The following is a 27,819-nucleotide window of genomic DNA, read 5'->3' as shown; positions in this document are numbered from 1 at the left end:
GTAGGAATTCAGTAATGTTTTGTTGAAAGGAGTGACTAAATTAGATATTATGAAGAAACTGGCACGCTGTGTGAATATATACATATTACATACATATGTAATATATACATATGTATGTAATGTGCCGTATGTGTATATCCTAGTGTAATACATATATATACATATAGTATATATATGAAACTTCCTTGAGAAAACCCCTAAAACATGCATTTTAATATCCAAGAGCTGTGATACATATATATGCTATAGATATGTACTACATATATACACATATATGTATATATCCTTTTATAATACATAAATAGATTTTGCCATTCAACGGAATGTATTATAAAAGGATAAACTGATGGCCAATAATATTTTAGCGTTTGCCAATTCTTTTTTTTTTTTCTTTTTTTTATTTGAGACGGAGTCACGCTCTGTCGCCCAGGCTGGAGTGCAGTGGCGCGATCTCGGCTCATTGCGAGCTCCGCCTCCCGGGTTCATGCCATTCTCCTGCCTCAGCCTCCCGAGTAGCTGGGACTACAGGCGCCCGCCACCACGCCCGGCTGATTTTTTGTATTTTTAGTAGAGACGGGGTTTCACTGTGTTAGCCAGGATGGTCTCCATCTCCTGACCTCGTGATCCACTCGCCTTGGCCTCCCAAAGTGCAGGGATTACAGGCGTGAGCCACCGCGCCCGGCCAAGTTTGCCAATTCTTGAGTCTTCTGACCCTTTTCAATTCCTAGTTTTGGCTAAAACTTATTTTGATACCTGTTAATTGCAACAAGACTGATATTTTAGGATATTTAGAGACAAATACAATTAAAAGCGTCTTACACATTTTATATTTCCTATCAAATCCTGTACCCCCTCCACTCCCATTTGTTACCAATGATGCTTCTTGCCTTCCTTATGCCTGACATGGGACCTAGAGTTGGCATTGCTTGGCTGTTTTCAAGAAAGTGGTACAAATGCTTAGCAGACATGCTAATCAACAGTTTTCTCCAAAGGATCAAACTTCCTTGAGAAAACCCCTAAAACATACATTTTAATAACCATGAACTGAAGAACAAAAAGCAAAACCTTTGGCTTCCTCTTTTGCCTTCAGCTCTGAACAATCTAAACTGATGCAAGATATAAGTCCAAAGTAAAACAGCCGCTAAATTCCTTTCTTTAAGTAATGCACTGAACTCTGTCTAACATGTAGAATAGAGTAGAGCTGAGTGATGTAACTGAATGAGATTGGAGGGTTCCACTTACCACTCTCCCTGGCAAAGGCAGCCCTCAAGACCCTTCTCCAGAATTCCTAGTGTGCCATGAATCAGAACTGGAAAACCATTGTATTATATGATCCTTTTTAGTCTTAAGATTCAGAGGCAATTAATTTATAGACACTTTGTCTGATTTATATTTGCCTTTATGTTCTTATTTTTAGCATGATTAACATTTTGAAAAATGATTTAGAAGTCAAAGTAGTTGACTTACTCAATGAACACAGAAATCAACCTATTGGGACATTTTATTTGATCATAGATTAAATTAAAAGCTTTTTAAGAGCAATAACTGAGCTGTAGGCAAAATCTTTATTTTGCCCTATTGCTTAATAAGAAGGAGCTTCAGTTGGTAAACTTCTCAACCTAGCACCCCAGATAAATATTGAATGAAATAGTTTATAAAAGCTTTGGCTGTAAGTCAGGAATGATTATTTTAATATTTTCTCTCTTTTTAATAAAAAAATTAGAAAAGTTCATGAGTAATTCTCCTATTCTTACATACCACAACAAATCATATGATGTGAAAAAGGGTGGAAATTGGAGAAAAATGTAGGTGGAATAGATATTGAAGTAGAAGATGCTGGCAATGGGATAGACATGTGGCATGATGCCTTCTGACTACTGATTATGTCACATTTTTCACTGTTGTGTTTTGTGTGTATTTTGTATAGATTTGCATGTGAAATTACTGTACAATAAATACTATATGGGAAAGAACTTCATTCATTCATGGTGTATAACAGAAAACAATCTTTACCACTAGTGATAAAATTATGCCAAGGTCTTCATAAAAAATAACTTAATAAGTGAAAGGCCTCAAAAATGAGTTTTTTCTTTTTTATTTCAAAGTGTTAGCTACTCCAAGGCTTCCATGGAGCTTTTAGGAAAAGTAATTCTAGTAATAGCTGACTTTGAGTTTTCATGGGAGTGGCAAGTAGCAGTGAAGAATGTTATATAGGTTAACAATTCCTTGAGTGATTAAAAAAATGTGATACATAGCAAACTACAGACCATTCTGAATAATTAGTGGTGCAGGAATAATGCCATCAGATGTACAGATATTACAAAAGGGAAGAGATTTTGTTGTTGAAATGTTTCTATTGATATGAACAACAAACTGTGTCTCTTGCATCCAGAGGTATGCTAAGAAAAAGCATGAGCTGATGCATTACTATATTTCTTGAAGAAAATTTGTTTGCAGCAAGTCAAAATTTCTGTCCAATTTCCAATTTGTAAAATAAAATGTCTTGAATTATCTATGCACATCTCAAGTTTGTTGAGGTCTTTAAAACTTGAAAAGCACAAAAAAAGTTTGTTTTAATACCACCAGGATGAAGATGATCTCCACTTTTCCAAATGGCACCCTTCTATTTATGAGAATCATAATAAGAAAATATGCCTCATGACTTCAAGAGAAAATGGACATTCCTCCTTGGGCTTCAAGAATAGAAAGATACATGGGCAAATAAACAAACAAAGAAACAAACATAAAACCCTCTATTAAACAACAAAAAAACCCCAAAACAAACAAACAAAAAACTTTCTATTTTTTTCTTTACTCATACTTCCTTGAATAAGAAGTATGTTTTCTAAGGATACTCATGAAAACTCTTCTTGCAAGCTAGGAGCTTTTTGCTAATTGGGTTGCCATAGGAGTGGCAGTGTGAAAATCTAGCAATTTGACATTGGGTCGACTGACCAGTAAAATCATCTAAAATTAGCATTGGCATCTTGACTTTCCTTCTGGGCTCTCTATCCAGTAGTGCTCAGAGCTTGTCTATAAACTTTAAATAGTAGGTCTAAATAAGTACATTAATCAGGAAAAAGAGGATCAAGATCCAGGTAACAATGACGCTTGGCTCTAAATAGGCTGGCGGTAAAATGAGACAGGTGTTCCTGGGGTGGGAGAGGGGGCTGCTAATTATTATTCATAAGCAGATGGCATATGATCAGTTTGTAGAATACTTTTATAATATTGCGTGTGACATTGTAAATCCAGATTCCTGAATATGAATAGGTGATAGCAAAATGGATAGATTTTTATGTGATGAAGCTTTTGAAAGAGAATATCTCAAAATTCAAGAGAAGTATAAATTTCCTCATATATTTGAATGGAGGCACAAGTTCCATTTTAGTGGATACATGAGGTTGACGACCTTAAATCTGAAATGAATGTAAAAGTGAAAAAAAAAAAAAAAGATAGTTTTCCCCAGGTGTCCTTGCTTTTATCACATTGGTACTACAGGAAGTGCTATTGTAAATCCTCCAGGCTTTTTAAATGGAAACAAATCTACAGAGGTGGAAAGGTCAGACATTTAAGGACACTGTAACAACAATGACGCCCTGGAAAGTAGCCAGTTTCCTACCTGGAATAGGGTTGCTGTGGCACTAGTTTGGGCATGTGCCAAGAATGGAGGCCTGCAGGAGACATTAAACAGCTGCGATCTGGTGAGCTGGAACAGAATGACCCAAGAGGGCAGAGGAGACAACATATGGACACAGCACAACGTCATTCAAGACAAAGTAAAACAGGAAAATGAGAACTTCTAATAGAAAAACAAGGCGTCCACCCCTGATGAGCCAGGTGGCTTCTGGGGCTTCCACTTCGTCCAGAATAAAGAGTCACGTTCTTCATAACCACATCTTGAAAACAAGCTGTTGACAAATTAGCACATAACAGACCTATAGCCAGGAGAAATTATTACATGGGGTGACTTTATCCAGTGTACATTCTGTTCACTGAAGTTTAGTTCTGGGGTCTTTGAGGAGATTCATGTCTATGAATACACAAAGTAAACTAGTAGCAAGGTGTGTTTACCATTGAATGAGTGTAGGCAGCATGAATTAGAGCATCAGACTAGGAGTCACAAATAGGGGTTCGAATTTTATTTCTCCCATACTTTGGAGATAGGCTTGGGAAAACACATCATCTCCATTATCACCATCATTATCATCGTCGTTGTCATCATTATCACTATTATCACCATCATCATTACCTCCATGAGTTGACAGTTAGTTTGTTAGTCTCTGTGCTAACACTTGGAAATCACTCAAATCCTGGAAATGTCCACTGTCCTCCAATCCACTCCACTCCTGATTCTTTTTTACCAGGGACATTTTTATTTCTTTGTATTCTTTTGTAGTGCCCACCTAGGACTCATTGTTATTCATGTGACCACCTTGTTACCTCCAAGAAGGTCACAATGAGATTAGGGGATTTAAATAGTGTGAGAGCAGTTCCTGGGAATAAATTGGATTTCTTGAAGGCTCTGAAAGCTAACCTGCTAACCTGGCCAGCTGTAGAGAGGGCCAGGGCCTCGGAGGGCCAGGGCTGGGGAGATGTGTGTGATGTGCAGCTGCTTGATTCACAGTTAGGAGAAGCTGGATCAGTGGTTCATGACGATTTCGTAATGAAACTAAGGTGTTGAAAGAGCAGGTAACTCAGATATAATGAGCTGAAGTCAAGGAAAGCATATATAAAGTAGTAAATTTAGATATCAGAAAATTTATTCTGAAAAATCTAAAGAATCACTTTTATAATTTTATTAGTTTATATTTGCTACCCTTACAGTACAAATTTCCTCAATGACACTGAAGTGTCATTTTGCTCTGTAGACTTTGCTTGGGGAGTCTGGACCAGTAATCATTTGCATAGTTTATATATGATTATGGAAAGAAATGGTGGCTTGGGATATCTCATATGTGTGTTTCAAATTAGCAACTGTCTTGAAAACATATGGTACTGTGTAATTTCCTGATGTTAGAACTGAAAAATACAGATGTGATAGCCTATAAAATTTGCTTGGGAATAATGAATATAGATAATTGTAAAGTAAGATTTCTTAATTATCACACTAGACTCTAAATTGAAGATTGATTTCACCAGTGACTTTTTAATGGTTTTACTAATCAGGTTAGATTAGCTGAGAAGTGGTACCAGACACTCCAGTTTATAATCTACAATGCTATCCAACAGGAAGGATCCAGTAGCCACATGTGGCTCTTGAGCACGTGATACATGGTTAGTGTGACTAAGGGGCTGAGTTTTAAATTTTATTTAATTTTTAGTTCATTTAAATTTAAATAGCCACACTTAAATAGCCTATTGGATACTGTATTGGACTGTGCAGAACTAAAAGGATGCTCATCCTAAATTTATTTTTGAACTATGCTTTGGCTTCAAGTTGAGATAGCAATTCATTATTTTAGTACAGAAATAACTCCATGGATAATATGAATAACAATTCTTAAAGAAGGAGCATTAAAACCCAGTTTTGTCTAAGACTTGTGTCATGACAAAATAGTGAGTCTATTTATAGCCTTCAAGTTGGTCTTGAAAGGTCCATCTGTTCCCTGGAAAATGCAAAGGAGTTGTTTGTGGTTAAATAGTTGGTTAACAGAACTTTCACTATTTCATCTGCTTCTATCATGTGGAACACAGAACTTTTTGGGGAAAAAATTATCATTTATTTCAGAAAGAAGAATAATAGTATTCTTGAAAATAATAGATCTTTAGAAAATCTAGAAAATGATATTTACTGAGCTTTTACCATCTCCACAAGCAGTAGAGTTTCACAACAACCCTAAGGGGTAAGGTTCTCTCCATTTGACAGGTGAGGAGACAAGGCCCAGAAAGAATAACTAACTTGTCAAAGGTCACAGGGCTTTTGAGTGGCATAGCCCAGGGTTCTGAACTCAGGTAGTGTGGCTTTTGGGGCCAAGCTCTTAACCACTAGGCTATAGTTTTTTCATTTCATTATGGCTGTTCTGTTGTATCTTCTATCCCTTCTGCCTCCTTCATCCTCGAGTGCTTCAGGTATAGAATGATGGAGAGATGGCTAAATATTCCAGTTCTTGTACTGGCTATTCACCAGATAGAGGACCTTAAAGAAGCCCATTTCTACCTTCTCTTACTTTTTATATATGGCAATTAAGATGTACTTGGGGCTATTCTGTCTCCTTGAGATGGATCTGGCTGAAGTGCCATTTGGAGGTGGTAGGCAGAAGAGCTTCAGGAAGCACAATCTTGGTGACTCAGTTAAGACAGCCTGGGCCATATTTGGTGTCCAATTTCCATAGTCCAGGAAGAGCACAAAACAAAGTATGGTTCTGCATAATAGTACCCTGCCCATATTGTCAGAAGAGGCTTCTACTAAAGTTCCCACAGAGTTCATAACCCTGGCATGCTGAGACTGAAGATTTATTCAACACATAGAGAGAAAAATTAGCAAGAAGCAAAATGGGGGTGGAGGGAGCGAATATTGACTTTAAACTGAGGAGAACAATGATCTTGCTATTTGACATAAAGAAAAAAGAAAAGCTATTTTCAGCTGACTGGGTTGCAGGTAGGTGTTCCTTTTCAGGTGCTTCTAGTTACCACCACTCTTCCTCAGCGATGTGGTGGGATAGAACTTCTTCTGGTTACCCATGAGACCTGAGACGAAGATGGGCCAATAGGCTTACTCTATTAAAAGGGAACTGGGGGCCAGGCGCAGTGGCTCACACCTGTAATCTCAGCACTTTGGGAGGCCAAGGTAGATGGATCACCTGAGGTCAGGAGTGCGAGACCAGCCTGACCAACACGGTGTAAACCTCATCTCTACTAAAAATACAAAAATTAGCTGGGCGTGGTGGCAGGCATCTACAATCCCAGCTACTCGAGAGGCTGAGGCAGGATAATTGCTTGAACCTGGGAGGGGTGGTTGCAGTGAGCCAAGATTGTGCCTTTGTACTCCAGCCTGGGTGACAGAGCAAGACTCTATCTCAAAAAGAAAAAAAAAAAGAATTTGGGAAGCAGAGATGCCACTCTATGGTGCTCTGAAAGTGCTTGGCATCTTTAGTTTCAGACATTGAACAGTGAAATAATTATTTTAAATATTTTTTGATTTGGGATATAGGCTATTGGTATACTGCGCATGGTCCCAGGAGAAAGCAGGGGAGTCTACAGGTAATTAAGTGCTAGGTGTAAACAGCTGAGATGGAGAAAAAAATCTGAGCAGGGACTACTAGTAGGTGCATAGAAAAGTAAACCAACCATTCCATACACCTTGCCTTAGCCAGATATCATCCACTTTTTCTCATTGAAATGCAAAGAAAGTCATGCTCATAACAGTTCACAGGCGGGTTAATTGAGTAAGTTAGAGGATGTGTATACCTCCTGTGTTATTTCTTTTAAACACTGGATTTCTAAAAATATTGAATTTAGTAAAAAATTAAAATCTCAATCTGTTACAAAGTATGATTTAGAGTAAGATAAGTTAGGCAATATTTTAATGACTCTTTTTGTGTTAAAGTCTGGGATTCTGGAGGTATTGCAAATTTGTTTCTATGTGTGTGTATTCATAGCATCTATGACATGTCTTTCCTCATTTTTCATCATTAATACATCCAGACCAATCACTTTGGCATAAGCAGGGACATCTTTGTCATTAATTGCTCTATTTATGTTACTGTCTGTCCCACTAGATTGTGAAACTTATCAAGGCAAGGGCTTTGTCTTATTGATTGATGCTTTCCCAGGGCCAGGCACATTGTGTATCACAAAATGGGCACCCACCCATGTTTGCAGATATGATCAAAAGGATAGTGGAAGAGCTGAGCAGAATATTGTTTAGAAAATTGACGTGTAAAAAATGTTTCTTTTTTTTTAATTGACTAAATTATATTTTGATCAAGGAGCGTAGTCGGTAGGATGCCTATTATTAATTTGCTGAGACTTGCTTTATGGCCTGGCATTTGGTAAATTTTTGTAAATATTTGATGTGTACCTAGGGAAAAAAACTGTAGTCTCTTAACTGTTGGATATAATGTTCTATATGTTCCTTAGAGCAAGCTTGTTAACTACAGTGTTCAAATCTTGTTGGAATTTATCTTCCTCTTGCAGAGCTGTCAATTTTTTGATGATATAATTTGAGGTTTTGTTCTTAAATACATCAAGATTTTGAATTATTTTATCTTCTTAGTGAATTTAATCTTTTGTAAAAAAGCTGTTATTTTTCTTAAATCTAGTAATGCTTTGTCTCAAAATCTATTTTATACAATATTTATAAAGCAACACCAGTTTTCTTTTGGTTTGTATTTGCCTTGTACATATTTTTTATCCTTTCATATAAACTTTCTGTGTCTGTATGTATTTCACAGAGTCACTTATAAATGACTTAAACTGGAGTTTTAAAGAACTTGGTGAGACAGTTTTGTTTTTAACAGGAAAGTTTATCCCTTTTTATAATTATTGGTATACTTGGATTTATTTCTATATCTTAATTTTTACCAGTTCTTACTTTTGAGAAATTTTGTGTTTTACCCTTTTTGTTAAACTTTCATTTGGATTGTTTTATTGCTTTGGGTTTTTGTTTGTTTTGTTTGCATATTTTTCTCATTGGCTCTCCATTATAATTAATATTTTGAAAATTACACTATTCATTTGTCAATTCAAACTTTTTTACTTATTTATTTATTTTACTTTTACAGATAAAATTGTATGTATGTATCATGTAAAACATATTTTTGAAGTATATATACATTGCAGAATGGTTAAATTTAGCTAATTAAACTTTGCATTGCCTCACATAGTTATCATTTTTGTGGTGAGAACCTTTAACATTCACTCTCTTAGCATTTTATAAGAATACAATATATTCCTCTTAACTATAGTCACCACGTTGTAAAATAGATCTTTTGATTGATCTTATTCCTCCTATCTCGCTAAAATTTTGTATTCTTTGAACAATATCTCTTTTCCCCTCCCCCAACCCTGTACCTGTGGTGATCACCATTCTACCCTCTACTTCTACCAAATAAACTTTTTTTTTTTTTTTTTAAATCTCACATATAAGTGAGATTATGCAGTATTCGTCTTTTTATGCCTGGCTCATTTTACTTAATATAGTGCTCTCCTGGTTCATCCATGCTGTCACAAATGGCATAATTTCCTTCTTTTTTATGACTGAATAGTATTTCATTGCGTATCTATATCACACACATTTTCTTTATCCATTCATCTATTAAAGGACACTTAGGTTGATTATATATCTTGGCTATTGTGAATAATGCTGCAATAAACATAGGAGTGCAGGTATCTCTTTTACATACTGATTTCATTTCTTTTGGATTATATACATAGTAGTGGAATTGCTGGGTCATATGTTAGTTCTATTTTTAATTTTTTATGCAAATTGTATACTGTTTTTGAAACAGGATACATACTAATTTACATATCCACAAACAATGTAAACATGTTCCCCTTTCTTCACATTCTCACCAACATTTGTTATCTTTCACCTTTTTGATAGTAGCCAATCTAACAGGTGTGAGGTGATTATCTCATTGTGGTTTTAATTTGCATTTCCTTGATGATTAATGATGTTGAGCATGTTCTCATATACTTGTTGGCCAATTTTATGTCTTGTTTTGAGAACTGTCTATTCAAATCTTTTGCCCATTTTTAATCCAGAATATTCTTTTCTTGCTATTGAGTTCCTTGTATATTTTAGATATTGATCTATCAGATATATAGTTTGCACATATTTTCCCCCATGTTTTATGTTGAATCTTCACTCTGTTGATTGTTTCATTTGGTGTGCAGATGCTTTTTAGCTTGATATAATCTCACTTGTTCATTTTTGCTACAGCTGCCTGTGCTCTGATGTTGGGTGTATATATAATTGTTATATCTTCTTGATGGATTGATTCTTTTATCATTATTTAATTCCTTCCTGTCTCTTGTGACAACCATTGACTTAAAGTCTATTTTTTTCTAATATAAGTGTAGCTACTTCTGCTCTCTTTTGATTTCCATTTGCATGGAATATCTTCTTCTATATCTTTACTTTCAGTCTGTGTCTTTGCAGGTGAAGTGAGTCTTTTGTAGACAGCATATAACTGTTTTTTCTTTTTTTCCTGTTCAGCCACTCTATGTCTTTTGATTGCATAATTTAATTTATTTACATTCAAGGTAATTATTGATAGGTAAGAACTTACTACTGCCATTTTCTTTATTGTTTTCTAGTTGTTTTGTAGATCTGTGTTTCTTTCTTAGTCTTTTATTGTCTTCTGTGACTAATTTTCTTTAGTGGTATGTTTTGATTCCTTGCTTTCTTTTTTTTGTGCATTCACTATAGGTTTTTGCTTTCTGGTTACCATGAGTTTTACAAAAAACATCTTATAGTTATATTATTTTATGCTGATAACAACAATGTAGATCACAAAAACCATGTCTTGGATTATATTATGTCTTATTTGAATTCATTATTATTGAAGATCTTTGCCCTTCTTGTACCTGAATATTTATATCTTTCTCCAGGTTTGGAAAGTTTTCTGATATTATTTTCTTAAACTTTCTACTCCTTTTTCCTTCTCCTTTTTCAACTCCTATGACGTTTACTCTTGTGATGTTGTCCCATAAATCTTGAGCAACAAAAGTTTCTTTGTTCCTTTCATTTTTTTCTCTCTTCTGATTGCATATTTTCAAATGACCCATCCCTGAGTTCACTCATTCTTTCTTCTGCTTGATAATTCTGCTGTTGATGCTATTTTACTTTTAATTTCATTCACTGTATTTTTTAGTTTCAGGATTTCTGTTAGATTTTTCTGAAATTATAATAATCTCTCTGTTAATTTTCTTATTTTGGTCATTTATTGTCTTCATCATTTTGTTGAATTGTTTCTATTTCCTTGATGTTTGATAAAAAATAGTTATTTTGAATTTTCATAAGACAGTTCGTACATCTCCATTTCTTTAGGGTAAGGCACTGGCACTGTATTTTGTTCATTTGATGATGTCATGTTTCTATGATTATTCTTGATCTTTGTGGCCGTGCATTAATGTCTGCACATTTGAAGAAATAGGTACATATTTCATTCTTCACAGACTGGCTTTGTCTGGGAATGGCTTTCAACAGTGAGCCTGTCCAGAGATTCTAAGCAGACCATCTGATGCTCCCTAAACTCAGGGCCACTGTGAATGGTATGGCATCAAGCTGGAATCCCATGGCTGCTGAGGCTGGTGCAGAGCTGGTGTGTGCCTAAATCTTCTGGCTTCTGAATCTGTTGCAATGTTGGCTTGTACCTGAAGTCCACTGCTGCTAAGACCTGTTATAACTGAATGTTGTCTGGAGCTCAAGGTCACTGTGATTGACTGGCAATGATGTGAACTGGAGTTCAGATCCACCTCACAGGGGATACAGGTTTCTGTCTGCTACCAGGTCGTGTCTGGAGGTTGAGTCCATGAATACCAGCCTGAAGTCAGAGGCCATGGAGTTCTGCTCAATGCCTTGTTTTATGGTGGCAGACCCACTATTGGGGTCCAAAGCAAATTCCTTCACTTTCCTTTCTTTCCTCCAATAAGATGGTATCTTTTTCCACACAGTGTTGCCTGGGATTGGAGAAGAGGTGATATGGGTAATGTGGAACTGTCTTCCTACCCTCTTCAATGCATCTTTTCTTATTATTGTGCTATAGTCAGGTACTGTAATCTCTCATCTGGTTTCCTTAGCTCTTGTGAAGATTTTTTTGTGTGTGAATAGTTGTTCAAATTGATGTTTCTGCAGGACAATTACTGAAAAATCCTATTCTGCCATCTTGCACCACCTTCTTTTTTATATATTTATTTTAAATAACTTTAGATAGTTTTATATGCATATGTAACTAAATAATGTGTAAAGTTGATCAATATCTTTACCTTCTACTTTACCCTTTTTAACTGGTATGTTAAAATGCTTTAACTCATCACAACTCTCCAACTTAATTGTATTCTATTTCTATCTAATGTTTTCCCTTAATCTGTGTTTTTAATACCATTCTTTAAACATTATAATTATTTTAAAAATAATGATTCATAGATTTACCAAAATTACTACCCATTATTCTCTTTTTGCATCTCAGAACTTCTATGATAATTTTCTTTTTGAATGAAGCAGATGTTTAGATCTCTAATGAGAATTTATAGTAAACATTCCATTTAGATTTTTTTTTTGCTGAAAACAAAATTTCATTACTATTCTTGAAAGACAGCTTTGTTAGTATAGTATTTTAGATTAACATTTTTTAAGGAAGATTAAAAAGTCTTTTACTTTTTCTGCTTTCTATTGTAGCTATCAGTTTAAAATAATTCTTCTTATCACAGACTTCTTTAAATATCACACTTGGCTTTAGTGCTCTAAAATTCACCAAAAATATCTGGTGACTAATTGTACAGATATAGATAATATACACATTTTTTCTGTAAGACAATCAGTAGGTTTCTGTGATCTGAGGTTTTTCTGTCTTTCTATAGTTCAAAAATTATTTGTTTCTATCCCTTTGATTATTGCCTTAGTTTAATTATTTTGTACCATATCTTTTTGTTTCTCTGATCAAACGTATGGTTAGATCTTTTCACTCCTTCTAACTGCTTTCATATTTTCAATATATTTGCATTTAGGGTTAATTTCAGCATACTATATTTGCATCTATCTTCTAGTTCATTAAATTTTTCTTCAGCTGTACCTAGTTTTCTCTTTAATGTGTTAACCTGTTAATCTGTTAACCTGTAATCTGTTAATCTGTTTACATTTCAATTATTTTATTTTTCATTTCTAAAAAAAATTTCACTTATTTCCAATTTTATTATTTAATTTATATAGTCTGTTGTCCCTTGCTCATAATTTCAGTAAATATCTTATTGATTGAAACATAGAAAGTGCTAATTTTATATTCTCCTAATTAATTTAATTTCAATATTTATAGTTATTGCTGGTATCTTGTTTTGGCTGACTCTCATTAATTTCACCCTATATGCTCACATATTTCATGATTTTCTATCATGAACTCATGTTTCTTGGAACTTCAGCTGTGATAATTCTTTGAGGCCTGGATATGACTGCGTTCTCTGGAGAGGAATTCTGTTGGCTTCTATCAGTCACCTGATTGTATTTCCAATTTGATATCACTTAAAAATCTTTGTTGACCATATATGTAGAAGGAATGCAGGTTGAAAATATAGATTATAAAAGCCAAATTGTGTTTACTAGTCAGGGAACCTTAGAGAATTTAGCTTACTTGCTGATCCTTCTGTTTGGTTGATTTCACCCTCCAGGATTTTCATCAATTTTATGAAGAGATCTGTGAAATCTTTCATTTTGGGTAGTCCTTGATTTTATTACCTATTTCCTATGTTCTGCACTTCCATGAAAACAGAAACTGGAGATTATCATGATTGAGCAGATGCTTCCTAGGGAAAAGTTGGCTTTAGGCCTTTATTATCTTCCAAGTGTCTTCTTTTTCTCTTGTTTTCAGCTTCTGTGCATTCTTTGACTTCTTGCTCTCTCAGGAAATCATTTAAAAAGATGATTTCAATGCATTATCAAACGTTTTGTTTACTTATTTTTGCAGAGTATATGGGTTGTTTACCACTGGGCTCTTTTCTTCCGGAGCTCTTTGGGAGAGGCGTTCCTCTATGACCATTTGTCGTAGGTACCACTCCGATGTCCTATGAGATGATAGAGACAAAACAGTAACTTATTTACTGATATTCTTGAAAATAATTTGGTAGTGTTATAGATTTTTATGTAATTAGACAAAAGTACACTCAAAGAGGACATTATAAGATTGTAAGAGTGAGATGTAGACAGTAAAAATGAAATGACAGCCCCAGAACAAGTTGTTCAATCTAGTTTGTGGGATTGCACATTTGGCTGATTTAAGTTTTATTTTCATAAAAATTATAAGTTAAAATATTCTTTAAATGTACTGTTAATAGTGGCTTATTAGAACAAGATTTAATACATGGTTTTGAGCTGTGACTATGCTTATGTAATATTGACCATACAAAGTCCCTGGAAAAATCTTTCCTTTTCGTATTACACTACAGCCAAGAAAATTTGAGATTTCACCCTACACATTTCCAAACTCAAAGCTATAATGTGGTTTTGATACTATGACTGTTGCTGTGGAGATTTCTGGGTTGTTTACAAAACATAAAACAGAGAATATTGAATAGGGGAGGGAAGTAAGCAGCAAATATTTATAAACTGCAAATATAAAAGATTCTCTTTCAATAGTTAAGCTGTCACTATTACTTTGTTACCATGGGTCAAATGTTAATGTTTGTATCTACCAAGAAAAATATCTCTTTTCCTTGTTTACTCTCCTGAGCTTAATTATTTTCAGACAAAGAATCTACAATAGATCTTCTCCAGCAGCTCTGGAGGTCAGACCCAGCTGTGGAGAGAATCATTTCTAAAAAACTAGAAGGCACGTTGGGAGGTATGCTAGCTTTTTCATAATATCAGAGCAATGATTAGGGCATTTTGTACGCCAAAAACGTCGTTTTTTTCTGTTGTCAAAGTCATAGAAATATTCATTAATATTCAATTTTACATGTGGCATTATTTGAGATTATCATATAGTCATCATTGTTATTGTATTATTAATATGTGTTGCCCTGAAAGTTGTTTTGAAAATGATAGGATAAAATCATAAGTAAATACGGATGATTACTGTGGAAATACCATTTTTATTTTATAATAGTGTTAAATAATGAAATTTTTCCTCTAACTGGGAATATTAACTCCATTAATTCCACGGCACAACTTCAAGACTACTACTTTCTGTGGATGAATGGGAAATTCAAGACAGAAAATGGATGGGCGATATGGAAATACAACTGGTAAGATGTGGAAAATCTGGGTTCTCTTTCTGGCTCTGCAGTATGTTAATGATGTGATCTTGAATAAATCACTTAATCCCTCCAGGTTTAGGTTTCTCGTGCATAACAATGGGGACGATACTGGTCATGTGGTAACTAACAACATGAATTTGAGGAAGTTAGATATCAATTTGAGTACTAAATCTGCTGTCAATGAACTATGTAATGTAAGCAAGTTTTTTAACCTTTTTAGGGCTCAGTGTTCTCACCTATAAAATGGAAATAGTAGAGTTTTCTGGATTATTATTTGAAATAATAAATTACTTGTTTCTTTTTTCTTGTGCAAATTCTTTTTTCACCTCATTATTCTTTCTGTTAGATATTAGGTTTCCATTGTGTCAGAGTAGGATTGTTACAGCAAAAATGAAGAGACAAAATCGTCAATGAAGGCAGAGGTCCTTGAGTCAGAGGTGTTTGAACCAGAGCAACTCCATCTTGACTAGGGGCTGGGTAAAATGAGGCTGGGAATTGCTGGGCTGCATTTCCCAGAAGTTAGATGTTCCTAACCTCTAGATATTTACAGTTAAGGGAACAGATTGATAACATTTACTAAACAGACCCAGACTCAGGAATATCCTGATATCCCAATATCTTGAGGACAAAAGCATTCCTAATTTTGCTTTAAAGATAAAAATATAGCCAGGCGTGGTGGCACATGCCTGTAATCCCAGCACTTTGGGAGGCAGAGGCGGGAGGATCACAAGGTCAAGAGATGGAGACCATCCTGGCCAACATGGTGAAACCCCATCTCTACTGAAAATACAAAAATTAGATGGGCATGGTGGTGCACACCTGTAGTCTCAGCTACTCAGGAGGCTGAGGCAGGAGAATTGCTTGAACCTGGGAGGCAGAGGTTGCAGTGAGCTGAGATTGTGCCACTGCACTCCAGCCTGGTGACAGAGTGATGCTCCATCTAAAAAAAAAAAAAAAAAAACTTGCAAAATATAGTAATTAGAAAAATTAATCTGTTATCACAAACCCTTGTAATAGAATACATCTCCCCATGATATAAACAAGCATTGTACCTAAGGTGGGCATGTCCCTCCCCTTTTGGGAACTGCCTGCTCTGTCTATGGAGTAGCCATTCTTTATTCCTTCACTTTCTTAGTAAACTTGCTTTCACTTTGCTGTATGGACTTGTTACAGGTAGTCATGTGCAAGCCATTAGAAATGTCAGGTGACGGTTTGGCAGTTATCGCTTTGCCTCTCTAAAAATGATAATTTGGCAGTGCCAGGGAGAGTTCATTTCCAGATGGCCCACACCTGTTAACATCACAATATTAATTGAATGCAGGCCCCAGGGAGAAGCAACTTCCTGGGAATGTGTGTAAAGAGACAAAAATGGAGAAGAATGATCTTCCAGAGGCACACTCCACTGGAAAAGGGAAGAAAGCCTCAGATGGGCATGCCTATAACTCCCTAAACACACTGCATGTGCTCAATTCCCAAGGGTAAGGAGGGCACCACGCATACAGAAAGCCCACCTGAAAAGAAGAATCACAGGAAAGGGGCAAGCCTATAATGTCCCAGGGTCAAGGTTAAAGGATCTTCTTTTCTCTTTTTGACATTCAGGCGCCCAGTTGGATCTCTTCCAAGAGTTCTTTACTTTCTTTCCTGTTCTAAAGACTTTTTAATAAACTTCCATTCCTGCTCTGGAGCTTGCCTCAGTCTCTTTCTCTGCTTTATGCCCCTCAGTTGAATTCTTTCTTCTGAGGATGTAACGGCTGAAGTTGCTGTGGAAGAAAATTTTCTAAGCCAATATTCTCGACTCTTGTCCCATAATAGTTACCCATTTATTGGCCAGAGGAAAGCAGAGGCAAGCAGAGAGATGGACACTTAAGCAATATACTAGTCAGTGTCCTGAAGAGGAGACTCTGGCTCGCACCTTGAGAGGAGGTGGAAAGAATGAGAGAACTGGAAGATAAGTTTATTAAGCAACAAATACACTGGAGTCTTATGTCACTTTCTGAGTGACGACTTGCAAAAGAAGGTTCCTTTGCTCATTAAAACAACTCAGTAAGTGATAAAATATTATGTACACATATTATACTTGGGGTTTTAACCAGGAGGAAAGCCATAAGTTTTACTCACATTTTGTCTTTATTCCTTGAGTTTTCCTCAGATTCATCTGACAAGCTGATACCTGAAGTTATTCCACTGTAAAGGAAAATCTAAAAATTTCAGGACCCCCAGACTCTTTATGCAAAAAGGAAGCTGGGAGGCTGAGTCAGACAACACCTTCTTCCAAATGAATAGCTGTTGCTGGCATTATGTATTAGTGGGATCCCCACGGAAAGGTAAAAGGCCTCCGGCATCTATGAATGATTGCCTCCACAGCTCATTCATAAGTAAATTATTTGTTGACCTCCCATAAACAAGGACATGCCACTTTTAGCTTTAGGTCTACAAATCCAAGTCTAGCCCCTAAAACTAAAGTCTAAAACTAAAGTTCATCCCACACTGATAATGTCAATTGTAAGCTTATCTTCCCAGCTGTAAAACAAAAATAAGAGGAGATCAGTTCCTCCACCTACCCAAAGATGTCTTTGTAAGTGACTCTTCCTCTGCTCCCCTTTTCTCTTCAAACATTCACCTTATCTTATGTAAAATGTAGATTTCCTGGGCAGGAAATTAAAGTCTTACAAGTATGAAACCTTTCGCCTGACTGCCTACCTGCCCCTCTTCTTACGTGCCTTTCCCACCTTTAAGGAATGTAGAAATACTAAACCTCCTAAAAACCTCTTTGAGAAAAAGCCCCAGGCTCTTCTGTGGTTCACGTTTTTTTTTTTTTTTTTTTCTGGGACATGCCCTAAATCTGGCTAAATAAACCTTGATTGACTGAGACTTTTGTCTCAGTCACTCATTTTGATTTTCACTGTGAAAGGAAAATATCTTGGGCCCCCAAAATCACTAAGGAAAACTCAAGCTGGAAACTGCTCAGGGCAAATCTGCCTCCCATTCTATTCAGTCACTTCTCTGCTCATTGAGATAGACACACATCTGATTTGCCTTCTTCGGAGAGGCTGATCAGAAACTCAAAAGAATGTAACCCTTTGTGTCTCACCTATCTGTGACCTGGAAGCTTCCTCCCCGCCTTGAGTCTTCTTGCCTTTGCTTCAAGTTGTCCTGCCTTTCCAGACCAAACCAATGTACTTCTTACATATATTGATTGATGTCTCATATCTCCCTAAACGTATAAAACCAAGCTGTGCCCTGACCACCTTGGGCACATGTTGTCAGGACTTGCTGAGGCTGTGTCACGGGTGCATCCTCAACCTTGGCAAAATAAACTTTCTAAATTAACTGAGACCTGTCTCTGATTTTTCTGGGTTTACATCACCATAGGATGGAATTGTCTGATACAAGTCCCTTTATATCTTCAATGTTGAGAATTCAGTCTCTGAAAAGAATTTGCGCAGGGTCAAGCAAAGCAAAGATCAGGACCTGGCCAGGGTTGGGGCAGTGAGAGGGAAACAGCTGGTAGCATTTTCCGTGGCAGAGCAGCCAATATGCGGAGGCAAAACTAGCCAAACACTGGGGCCAAACACTGAGCTCCATCCAAACATCATTTGTTTGGCTTTATGCCAGCTTCCTAAAAAGTTTTGATTTAAATACTACCAATCAGCTGTTGATGAAGGGCATTAACATCAACAATGTTTTCTTCCTTCTATCCTGGCTTCCCTAAAGGTTTGACTTCACAAGGCAGCCAGGGATTCTTTTAAAAAACATAAAACATCATGTCCTTGCTTTTCTCACATCCCTCCAATGGCTTCCCATCTTTTAGAGTAAAAACCGAAGGCCTTGGATCACCTGCAAGCTCTCTGTGGTTTGGAGCCTGCTCTCTGATCTCATTTCCTACCCTCTTGTTCTGTCTCACTCTAGCTCACCAGTTATTATGTTCCTGGCATGTTCCTGCCTCAGAGCCTTTGCACTTTTCCTCCCGTTAATGGAATGGGCTTTCTCTATGTGGCCATGTAACTCTCTATCATTTTATCCAGGTCTCTGCTCAAATGTCACCATTTTGGAGAGGCCCCTCCAACCATCTTCTCTGAACAACACTCCTCCCCTACTCTAATGCTTTCTTCAAAACATGTTTAACTAACGTACTGTTGCCCAGTGTAAAGCTTGTGTGACCTAGCTGAATTTCTACCTTGTTCTCATGCTGCTTATCTTTAAAATACAGCATGCCTTCGGTAAGAAGTTCCCCTTGTAACTAGACAAGCTGAGAATGGTTAGAAGTGAGACAGCTGACTGAAGGACCCCCCAAATACCTGATGCTTTATTTTAATTTCATTTCCATGCTAAATGACACTCCTACCAGCATCATGACAGTTGACAATCACCATGACAATAACCAGAAGAAGCTGTAAAAGGACAAAAAGGAAGGTGGCATGCTGGTTCTGAGAGGTCCACCAGCCATTTCCAGAAAAGACATAGGTATTCCTCCCCTCGTTTTTACTGTCCACCCTCTTCATTAGAGAAATTCTCTGTCTTAACCCCCTTACCCCTTGGTAGTTGAGAAGTTGATTTGCGAGCCATGCTCTTGCTTCTCCGTTCCTTGGCCTTTTGGTTTTGTGTATTGGCTCTGTGACACCGAAGAGAGAAAGATCCCATCTTTTGGGGCTACTGAGTTTATCAGAAATTGTACCACAATGTAGATTCCATTCCGGAGGAGAGTGTGTTTTTTTTTCTGCATCTCCAGTTCCTGACTTATAGAAGGGGCTCAACATAAATATCAGTTGAATGAATGAATGAATGAATGAATGGAATGTCTATTATGTAACAACAAATTTTCTAGACATCATATATATTTATACATATGGACATTTTATACATATATATAATGTCTAATCTTTACAACTACTCAGAAAAATGTGATTATTCTAATTTTATAGCTAATGAAACCAAGGTTTAGATACCAAACACCTGCCCAGGTATGACAGCTACTAAGTGGTAGCACCAAAATTCACATTCATATTTATCTGATCCGAAATCTATAACTGCTATGCTTTACTATTAAAAAAGCCACTCCTGTTTTTAATTATCTTAAATTCTTTGAAAATATATGAATTTTTTTTGGTGATAACTTTTCTATTAGGTCATAAAATTGTTGAAGTTAGAGACTATGTCTTTCTTATTCACTCTGTAAATAATTGTGGAGTCCCCATTTTTCTATCATTGATATAGAGCAATGAAGAAATCAGTCATGGTTTCTGCTTAAATGGGATCTATACCCAAGGATTCTTTAAATTTATGTCCTATTTCCAGCAGCTTCCATATTGCTGGCTCATAGAACATACATACAAGATGTATGCGGAATTAATGGTAAAAAAATGCATGAGCTTTTCCTATACCCAGATAGGTTTCTGTTCTTCTATGCCAGTCAGGAGATCTGCTCTTCTATTCTAATAAAAAGATAAATGAACTTTGTTTGTAGGAAGGTTAATCTAGAAAACTGCATGAAAAGTTTGAGAAGAAGTTAACAAGTTCTGTTTTCTATTCCGCTTCTTCCTTCTAAATTGAGCATCTACTCCTCGTTGGCATAGTCCATGAATAGATATTCTATTTGACTTGTTATGAATGACCAATCCTTACACCACAGGAGACTTATGACTATAAATAAAGATTAACTTCAAAATTACATCAGCAATTCAAGTGTCTTATAGTGTGCTAAAAAATAGATTAAAGTAATTATCATCAATGTGCCATTTTAAGCTGTAAGAAAAATGGTCACACTGTCATTTTGATAAATAATGCTGGTATGAGAGAATGTACATGTTTTAATTTTATCCTTAGGAGTTGCAAACCCACATCCATTTAAAAGCAGTCTGGGGTGATACAGTAGGCTTGTTGTTTGCCAGGGGAAAAAATTATTATCATCTCTTTGAATAAATGTGCTGATGGCCACTGCTCAGTAATCCTTCTTCTTAAGTAGCAGATCCGTGGCTTCAATGCAAGGTTATAATTGATTATCAGTATTTAACAGTCTTATTAGTTAGAAAGCTGTATATAAAATAGATTCAATATATAGGTTTAATATAAATGGGACACAATGCCAATCTACAATAAATAGTTCTCATACCATGAAATGACCCAAGCAAATTTCCTAAAATCCCTAATGCATCCTTGATCAAGACTAAAATAGCTTCTATTTCAAATTGTGCATCACTTTTAATATTGCGTCTTTGCCTGAAAATAACTTTGAGGCATTATTTAGCCTTCTCTTTCATTTCTTTTTTTTTTTTTTTTTTCTTTTTTTTGAGACTGAGTTTCCCTCTTGCTGCCCAGGCTGGAGTGCAACAGTGTGATCTTGCCTCACCACAACCTCCAGCTCCTGGGTTCAAGTGATTCTCCTGCCTTAGCCTCCCAAGTAGCTGGGATTACAGGCACGCACCACCTGGCTAATTTTGTATTTTTGGTAGAGATGGGGTTTCTTCATGTTGGTCAGGCTGGTCTCATACTCCCGACCTCAGGTGATCTGCCCGCCTCCTCCCAAAGTGCTGGCAAGCATGAGCCACTGCACCTGGCTGCCTTCTCTCTTATTTCTAAAGAGGACTATGTTCACCACTTTGGTACTGGGAAATTAATTTTGTTTTAAAGCCATCAAGAAAAAGAGATTTCAGATTTAACCTTCTGGACCCATGAATTACTGGACTGGGTAAAGCAAGGCAATCTAATCTTGTACTTAGTCCTAGAGAGTTTGGCAGGATGGGGATCTAGCCGGCCTTTCCCCTTGGCAGGCTCTCCTGCCTCCAGACTGGGAGATGGCACTGCCACCACCCAGGCCATTTCCTCTTCTTTGCATCTTCTCCAGGTGTAATGCTGCTCCTGGCATATGGAATGTGCTTAATAGTTCTTAAAAAAAAATAAAACTCACTTCGTAGTTTTTCTTCTTGGAACCATGGTTTTCATTAAATAATGTTATAGGTTACACTCCCTGAGAAATAGTCTCTGAGGCTCTGGAACTGGCATGCAGAAAGTTTAGTGGTAAGTTTGTTAATTGGGGTTAATCCCTATGAGGGATTAGGAAAGCCTGATTGGGGAGAAGGAGAAAGTAACTGCAACACAGTTGCAAAAGATATCTTAAGTGACTCTGTAGACTGCTTTGGAGCTGAGATGGAACTGCTAGGCTATCTTCACTGAAGAAAAGGGGGATCAGCCTTTCTACCTATTCAGGTATCAATTATTAGATGCTAACTGGTCCTGGGAAGGGAGCAAACATTGAGAAAGGAAACTTCCTTCAATTTTTGAATTTTCAGTTCAATTTCTGGACAGGTCACAACTCTGAGCCATCAGCTGCCAACATTTGTGGAAGCTATGGGAACACATGTGTAGGTCCTAAAGGGAGCTGAGGTGGCGCACTACTGCATCCACTGCAAATAAACACTTTAAGCATAGCATCCCCCGTAAATAAATATTTGTTGAATGAATTTATTGTTGCAACTTTTAAAGGTTAGGTACCTCCAACATGATGAAGTGGGAGAAGAAATAGTTATATGCTAAAAAAACATTGTGGCTGGAAAGGTGGGATGAGATCAAGAAGCAGCTTATGTGATACAGAGGGGAGGTTTCAATTTTGTGATATCTATACAATCAAAGCAGAGGAAGAAGCAAGAATTGTAGCGACAAGGGGGAGATAGAAGAGAGTTGGGAAGTCTTCCTAATTCTCCAGACTGACCATGCCTTGTGTATTTATGAGAGGCAATGATCTGTGTTTGTCTTTACATCCCCACTTTGCACCATCACCCACTCTCTGCATACATGGAAGACACATCTTAGCATCTCCACTGTTGCTCCTTTAACTTTTTTGCCTACAATGTCCCCATCTCTACAACCTTTCAAACATTTACTTATCATTAAATAAAGATTTAGATCAAGGATCTGCCCATCCTTAAGCTTTCTCTGATTACGCTTCTCCTGGTGCTTGAGAATCTACAGCTTCCTCCTTTATGTGGTCTCCCTAATGCATATTCTCCAACCGTTTCTTAGCTTAGCATTCAGCTCTCTTGCTTAGACTAAAAACACTTTGAGAGAAAGATATCCTATATCTTGTTGGATAACTATAAACTGATATTGTGACTGGCAAGTGGTAGTCACTGTCTTTTGGCTGAGTTAATGAATTACACAGGACTTGAGTGGGAGTCCAGTGGTTAAAGAGGACTCAGTGGACACTGTAATTTAGCAGGACATAATACTCAAGGGCAAGAAAAAAGAATATGTCAGGTAATTTTAGAAAGTTGTTAGCAAGACTTTTCTAGCTGGGGCAGAGGAGTCAAGCGGGCAGAAGGTAAGGTGGATGAGTGTCAGATTGGAGAGGACCTTAAACACTTGGATAAGAAGTTCACACTTAGGCGTTTTAGTTAATGGTTTCCCAATATGGGCATGTTTCCAAAGTCTCATTTAAAGACTAAAAAAGTGACTCATATGGTGTACAGAATAGCTGAATTATCTGTCAGACAGACCAGTTAGGCAGTTATTATAATTACCTCCCATAAGGTGGAAGGAAACTCATTTTCAGTGAGCGATGTAACAGACAGGTAGTGTGGGGGACACTGATTATCCAGTTAGGTCAAACCCAGAACAGGTCAGAAATGGAGCATGGCAGGATACAACAGACAATGCAGAAGGTAGCCAATAGTGACAGGACAAAGGCTGTGTCATCTCCTGAAAAGACGCTGACAGATGATCTCACACTTCATCATCTGGGAGGCTGGCTTTCAAGTGGGTGGAACAAGAATGCAGAGAACTTGGCAGCAGGTAATAGGTAGAGTCCAGCAAGCCAGCTGGCAGTAGAACAGTCTGGCAGAAGTAATGAGAAGCTGACCATATATCAGGATTTAGGAGATAGAATCCAGTTCTTGGGAATACTAGACAGAACAAGATAGACTCTAGGAGTCTAGCACCAGGTGAAGCACCAAGGCAGAAAGTCAGTTACTGAGATCAGGGCATAAGGTATGAGGTGATCACAGTAACAGGTAGCTTTCTTTAGATGTGTAAGCTTTGTTCTTAGCCATTGCCAAAGAAGGAGTTACACTCAGTGACCTCTCACAACAGGGTCTTCTTTTAAGGATATGCAGAGAGTAAAGAAGAGAGGGGTGGACATGCAGCCCCCAAGAGCATTTGGGGTCCAGCCATAGCTTTACTAGCCTGACAGCAACTCTGAACACCCAATAAGGATTCTAAAGGTTGTTGCCTCAAGAATGGCATCGACCAGAAGAATTAGGCTATTACTGAAGATTACCACTGTACACTTCCATGCCTTGTTTCTGCTTGTGGTTTCTGCTTACTGCTTTCTGTCTGTGTGACTTCCTGCTTCTAGCTGTTCGTTAGCTCCCTTTGAATGTTTTATATTCAGATTTCCCAAGAGGGGTTCCAGTTGGCAGAATTAGTCAGTATTATAGCGATTTGGCAGGACTGCCTCATAAATGCACTTAAGGGGCTACTCACAAGGCTATAACCTGCGACCCTTAGGTCAGAGGCCATCACTGGCCAGGGCAGCTGTTCTCCTGGTGCTTGGATTACTTGATCAGCTTCCTTTTGCCAAAAGGAGTAAAAGCTGGCAGTCCTGAAGAGACAGAATGGACTCTTCCACTCCACCAAAACAGGAGTAAAAAGTCAAGACAGTAGCAACAGGAAGACCAATGCAATGTTGACTTAGGGTTTCAAAAATCCAAACCACTAGGCAGGTAGTTTCAAAGTGATGTATGAGAGAGGAACATTATGAAGACTTGGCAGGGATTGGCTGTTAAGTATTTTGAGTCTTCTCATGTCTTCCCTTCTTCCAGAAAATCTCTTAACAAAGTGATTTTAAAAGGTTTCACACATTGTAGAAATGAGAACTTAAAGGAAAGTTCTTAGGATTGAGGCCTATATGCCATCTTTTGTTTTCGGTATTATATGAAGACTACAATCAGCAAAAGTCCATAACAAAATAAAGGTTCCAGGAAAGATAGAGATGATGTCAAATTTGGAAAAATAAATAAACAACAACAAACAAAAACAGAAAACATTCTCAATTAATAATATTCCAAACAAAATTTAATACCAAGCCAAAAATTAATATAAGCTTCATCCATATTAAAAAAGAAAAACCAAGAGGTTTGCAAACATCCCATTTTAGAGCGAACCAAGACAGAAGAGATGCATATCTACTTTTAGTACCTTATAAATCCAGTAGGGTAAGAAGGGGTCTACACTGATATTTAGACACATAGAATTTGTTAAATCTAAAAAGGGCCAAACAAATAAACATTTTAGGCAAGAACTTGAAGAAAAAATGTCAAGGTTTCTTTTTTTTTCATTGTTCCTAAACAACAATACATTTTACTTTTTTTAATCACTTTGTAATTTATAAAACTCTTTACATTCTTTAACTAATATGATTTTTACCAAAACCTTTCACATACAAGGAAACTGAGGTCCAGTAAAGTGACTTGCCCAAGGCCAAATGGCTAGTAAGTGGACAAAACAGAATTTAAACTCAGAACTTCTTTGATTAGCTGCTTTTTCCTTCATAAATCCTTTTTGTTCTCAGGAAGAGCTAGATAAAAGGAGAAACAAAGAATAAAGCATTAGAAGTACATTAAGTTGCTTCTACTTTATTAATATGTATCATATTTAATTAATGGTATTCAGGAATTCTCCATAAAGTGAAACTCTATTTTTTTAACTCCCTATGCTGCACAGCAACTACCTGGCTTCTCAGAATTCTTTCTCGAGTACCAAGAATTCTAGCAATGCCATCCTAATTCCAGCCTCAGATTACACTCACATAGCAATAATCATACTTCTTGAAAATATGGTTTGTAATTTACAGGTGTTTGTACATATACCATTTAAACACAAGTAAGTCTCTTTTTTATCTACACTCTTCTCCTAAATGGCAGCTCTATTCATGCGAGTTTAAACAAAGAAACAGGACAATACTATGCATACATTCTAAAATATATTTTAAAACATTTCATGATTACATAAATATATTCTTTTCAGATTCAACCTCAATACTTTCTCTTTGAAATTTTCATATAAAACATACACACTCAGAATATATTAAGTTTTCAAAAGTACAAGCTAGAATCACTTTAAATGTTAGAATGACTCAACATTTTTAATATGTAGTTTTTGAGTGACTCTCTGTCAGGCACTGTGCTAGACACTGAGGGTGTATAGTCATGAACAAGACGGATGTGCTTCTGTCCTTATGGAGCTTACATGCTGCTGGGGAAGTTGGAAATAAATGATTAAGCAAATAAAGAAAGAAAATAAGCCCAGTGCTATGAATAAAATAAGCAGATTTCTATAGTAGAAAATGAGGAGTGACAGGTGGGTTAGAGAACTTTTCTTTAAGTAAGTGCCAGTTAAACTGAGATCTGGGGAAAGAAATGTCAAAGGGTCAAGAGAAAGAGATGTCCAGGCAGAGAGAACAACTAGTATAAGACTGAGTTGGTGAAGGGCTTGGCGTTGGGGAACCAAGAGAAACTAGCATGTCGGGCACTTTGTGTGAGCTATAGGGAAGAGGGCTGAGAGGGCTTCAGAGTCTTGTGAGCTGGGATGACATTGGAATTGGAATTTATAGAATATCAAGAATCGTGGTGTTCATTGTATCCTGAGGGGAGCTTCCAAAGGCCCTGGGAATCCAGGAAATGGAGACGGTGGACTGGATAAAGCACTCCACAAGTCCAGTGGAGCTTTCTGAGCTTTCAGACTCCTTGGCAAGCTTGCCTTGCCAGAACCAGGTGTCCAGGCCACAGCCACAACAGGAGACCTCCGTGGGCTGACATCCAGCATCCCCTGCTACTCCTGCTGGGCAGGGAGATCAAGGGAGGAACTTTTTTCATTTTGTTTTCAGCAAGGGGACTCAGGACAGAAGTCTAGCTCAGGGGCAAACCAAACTATATAAAAACTTAAAAAACTACTGCCTTAGAGAATTTCTCCTTCAGAAAGAAAGAATGTGTATGTTTATAAGAGCTGTGTGTGGTGGCAGAGAATCACTACCCACCCCACCAAGTAGAAATAAACATTACTCTGGTGTCTGTTAAAAGTATTTTTCCTGTGTTAATATGTGAATTGCCACGCATTTCCATGGAGATTTTTAATGAGATTTTTCTGACATATGAAAGGTGATTTGAGAACGATGGCAGCAGTCAGGGCATGCTAACCCTGAAGAAAAACTTTTTTTTTTTCCAGGTGCCCATCGTCATCCAGATCTGGAATTGCTCCCAATGTATAAACCAGTGCAAAGACTCCCTTGTATATGAGTTTATTCTGAACAGCTAAAGATTTGTAACTATGGAAACCAAAGTGCAAAAATAATTAGTGGGCTTAAAAAAATAAGTTATTTATTAATCATATTGTCTTCAGGTAATTTACACACACAGTCTAACTGACCATAACAGTGAATAGCTCTTTATGGTCTCTGATGAAAAGTAAACATAATGACCATGAATTTTTGTTAAAGGCCAGGTAGATTCAGGTGTATTTAATTACATGTCCAGCTCTTAATAAGCTCCACCAACAGAGAAATGAAATTATATGGATAAATAAAATAAAACTATATTTTCACAAATAGCTAAATTCCCTTACCTTTTGTTAGCACTTCCCATCCTCAAGACAAAGGACACAAGCAAAAACCCCAAACCTTTTGCCTTTTTCATAAACCAATTCTAGACTGACTGATTTGAGTTTTCTTTTCAAGTCATTCCCAAGTGTTTTCAGTGAAGGTTTCAGACAACAATAAATCAGTCTGCCATTTAGAAAGCAAAGGAACCTAACATGAGGGAGGGGGGCCGGAGAGGAAAGTGTTACAGTCTTCTAGGGTGTTGTGGCAGGCAGCTTCTGACTGGCTTCCGATAATCACTGCCTCCTGGGACCCACACTTCT

At 37.0% G+C, this 27,819-nt stretch overlaps 2 long non-coding RNA genes across 2 annotated transcripts in view; one reads left to right on the top strand and one right to left on the bottom strand.

The window, feature by feature from the left end:
• The window catches only part of LOC105371956 (uncharacterized), a 92,178-nt gene that overhangs the window by 51,911 nt on the left and 12,448 nt on the right, over window positions 1–27,819 (top strand). The gene's annotated exons all lie outside the window — the stretch shown is intronic.
• LOC105371957 (uncharacterized) overlaps window positions 24,961–27,819 on the bottom strand; it is a 29,740-nt gene continuing 26,881 nt past the window's right edge. The window contains exon 4 of the long non-coding RNA XR_935089.3: window positions 24,961–25,480. This is a non-coding gene — a long non-coding RNA (uncharacterized LOC105371957). The remainder of the gene's footprint in view (window positions 25,481–27,819) is intronic.

This window comes from Homo sapiens, chromosome 18, assembly GCF_000001405.40.
Source record: "Homo sapiens chromosome 18, GRCh38.p14 Primary Assembly".
Taxonomy (NCBI): domain Eukaryota; kingdom Metazoa; phylum Chordata; class Mammalia; order Primates; family Hominidae; genus Homo; species Homo sapiens.
The sequence above is the reverse complement of the archived record's forward strand: the minus strand, read 5'-3'. Positions and strand labels throughout refer to the sequence as shown.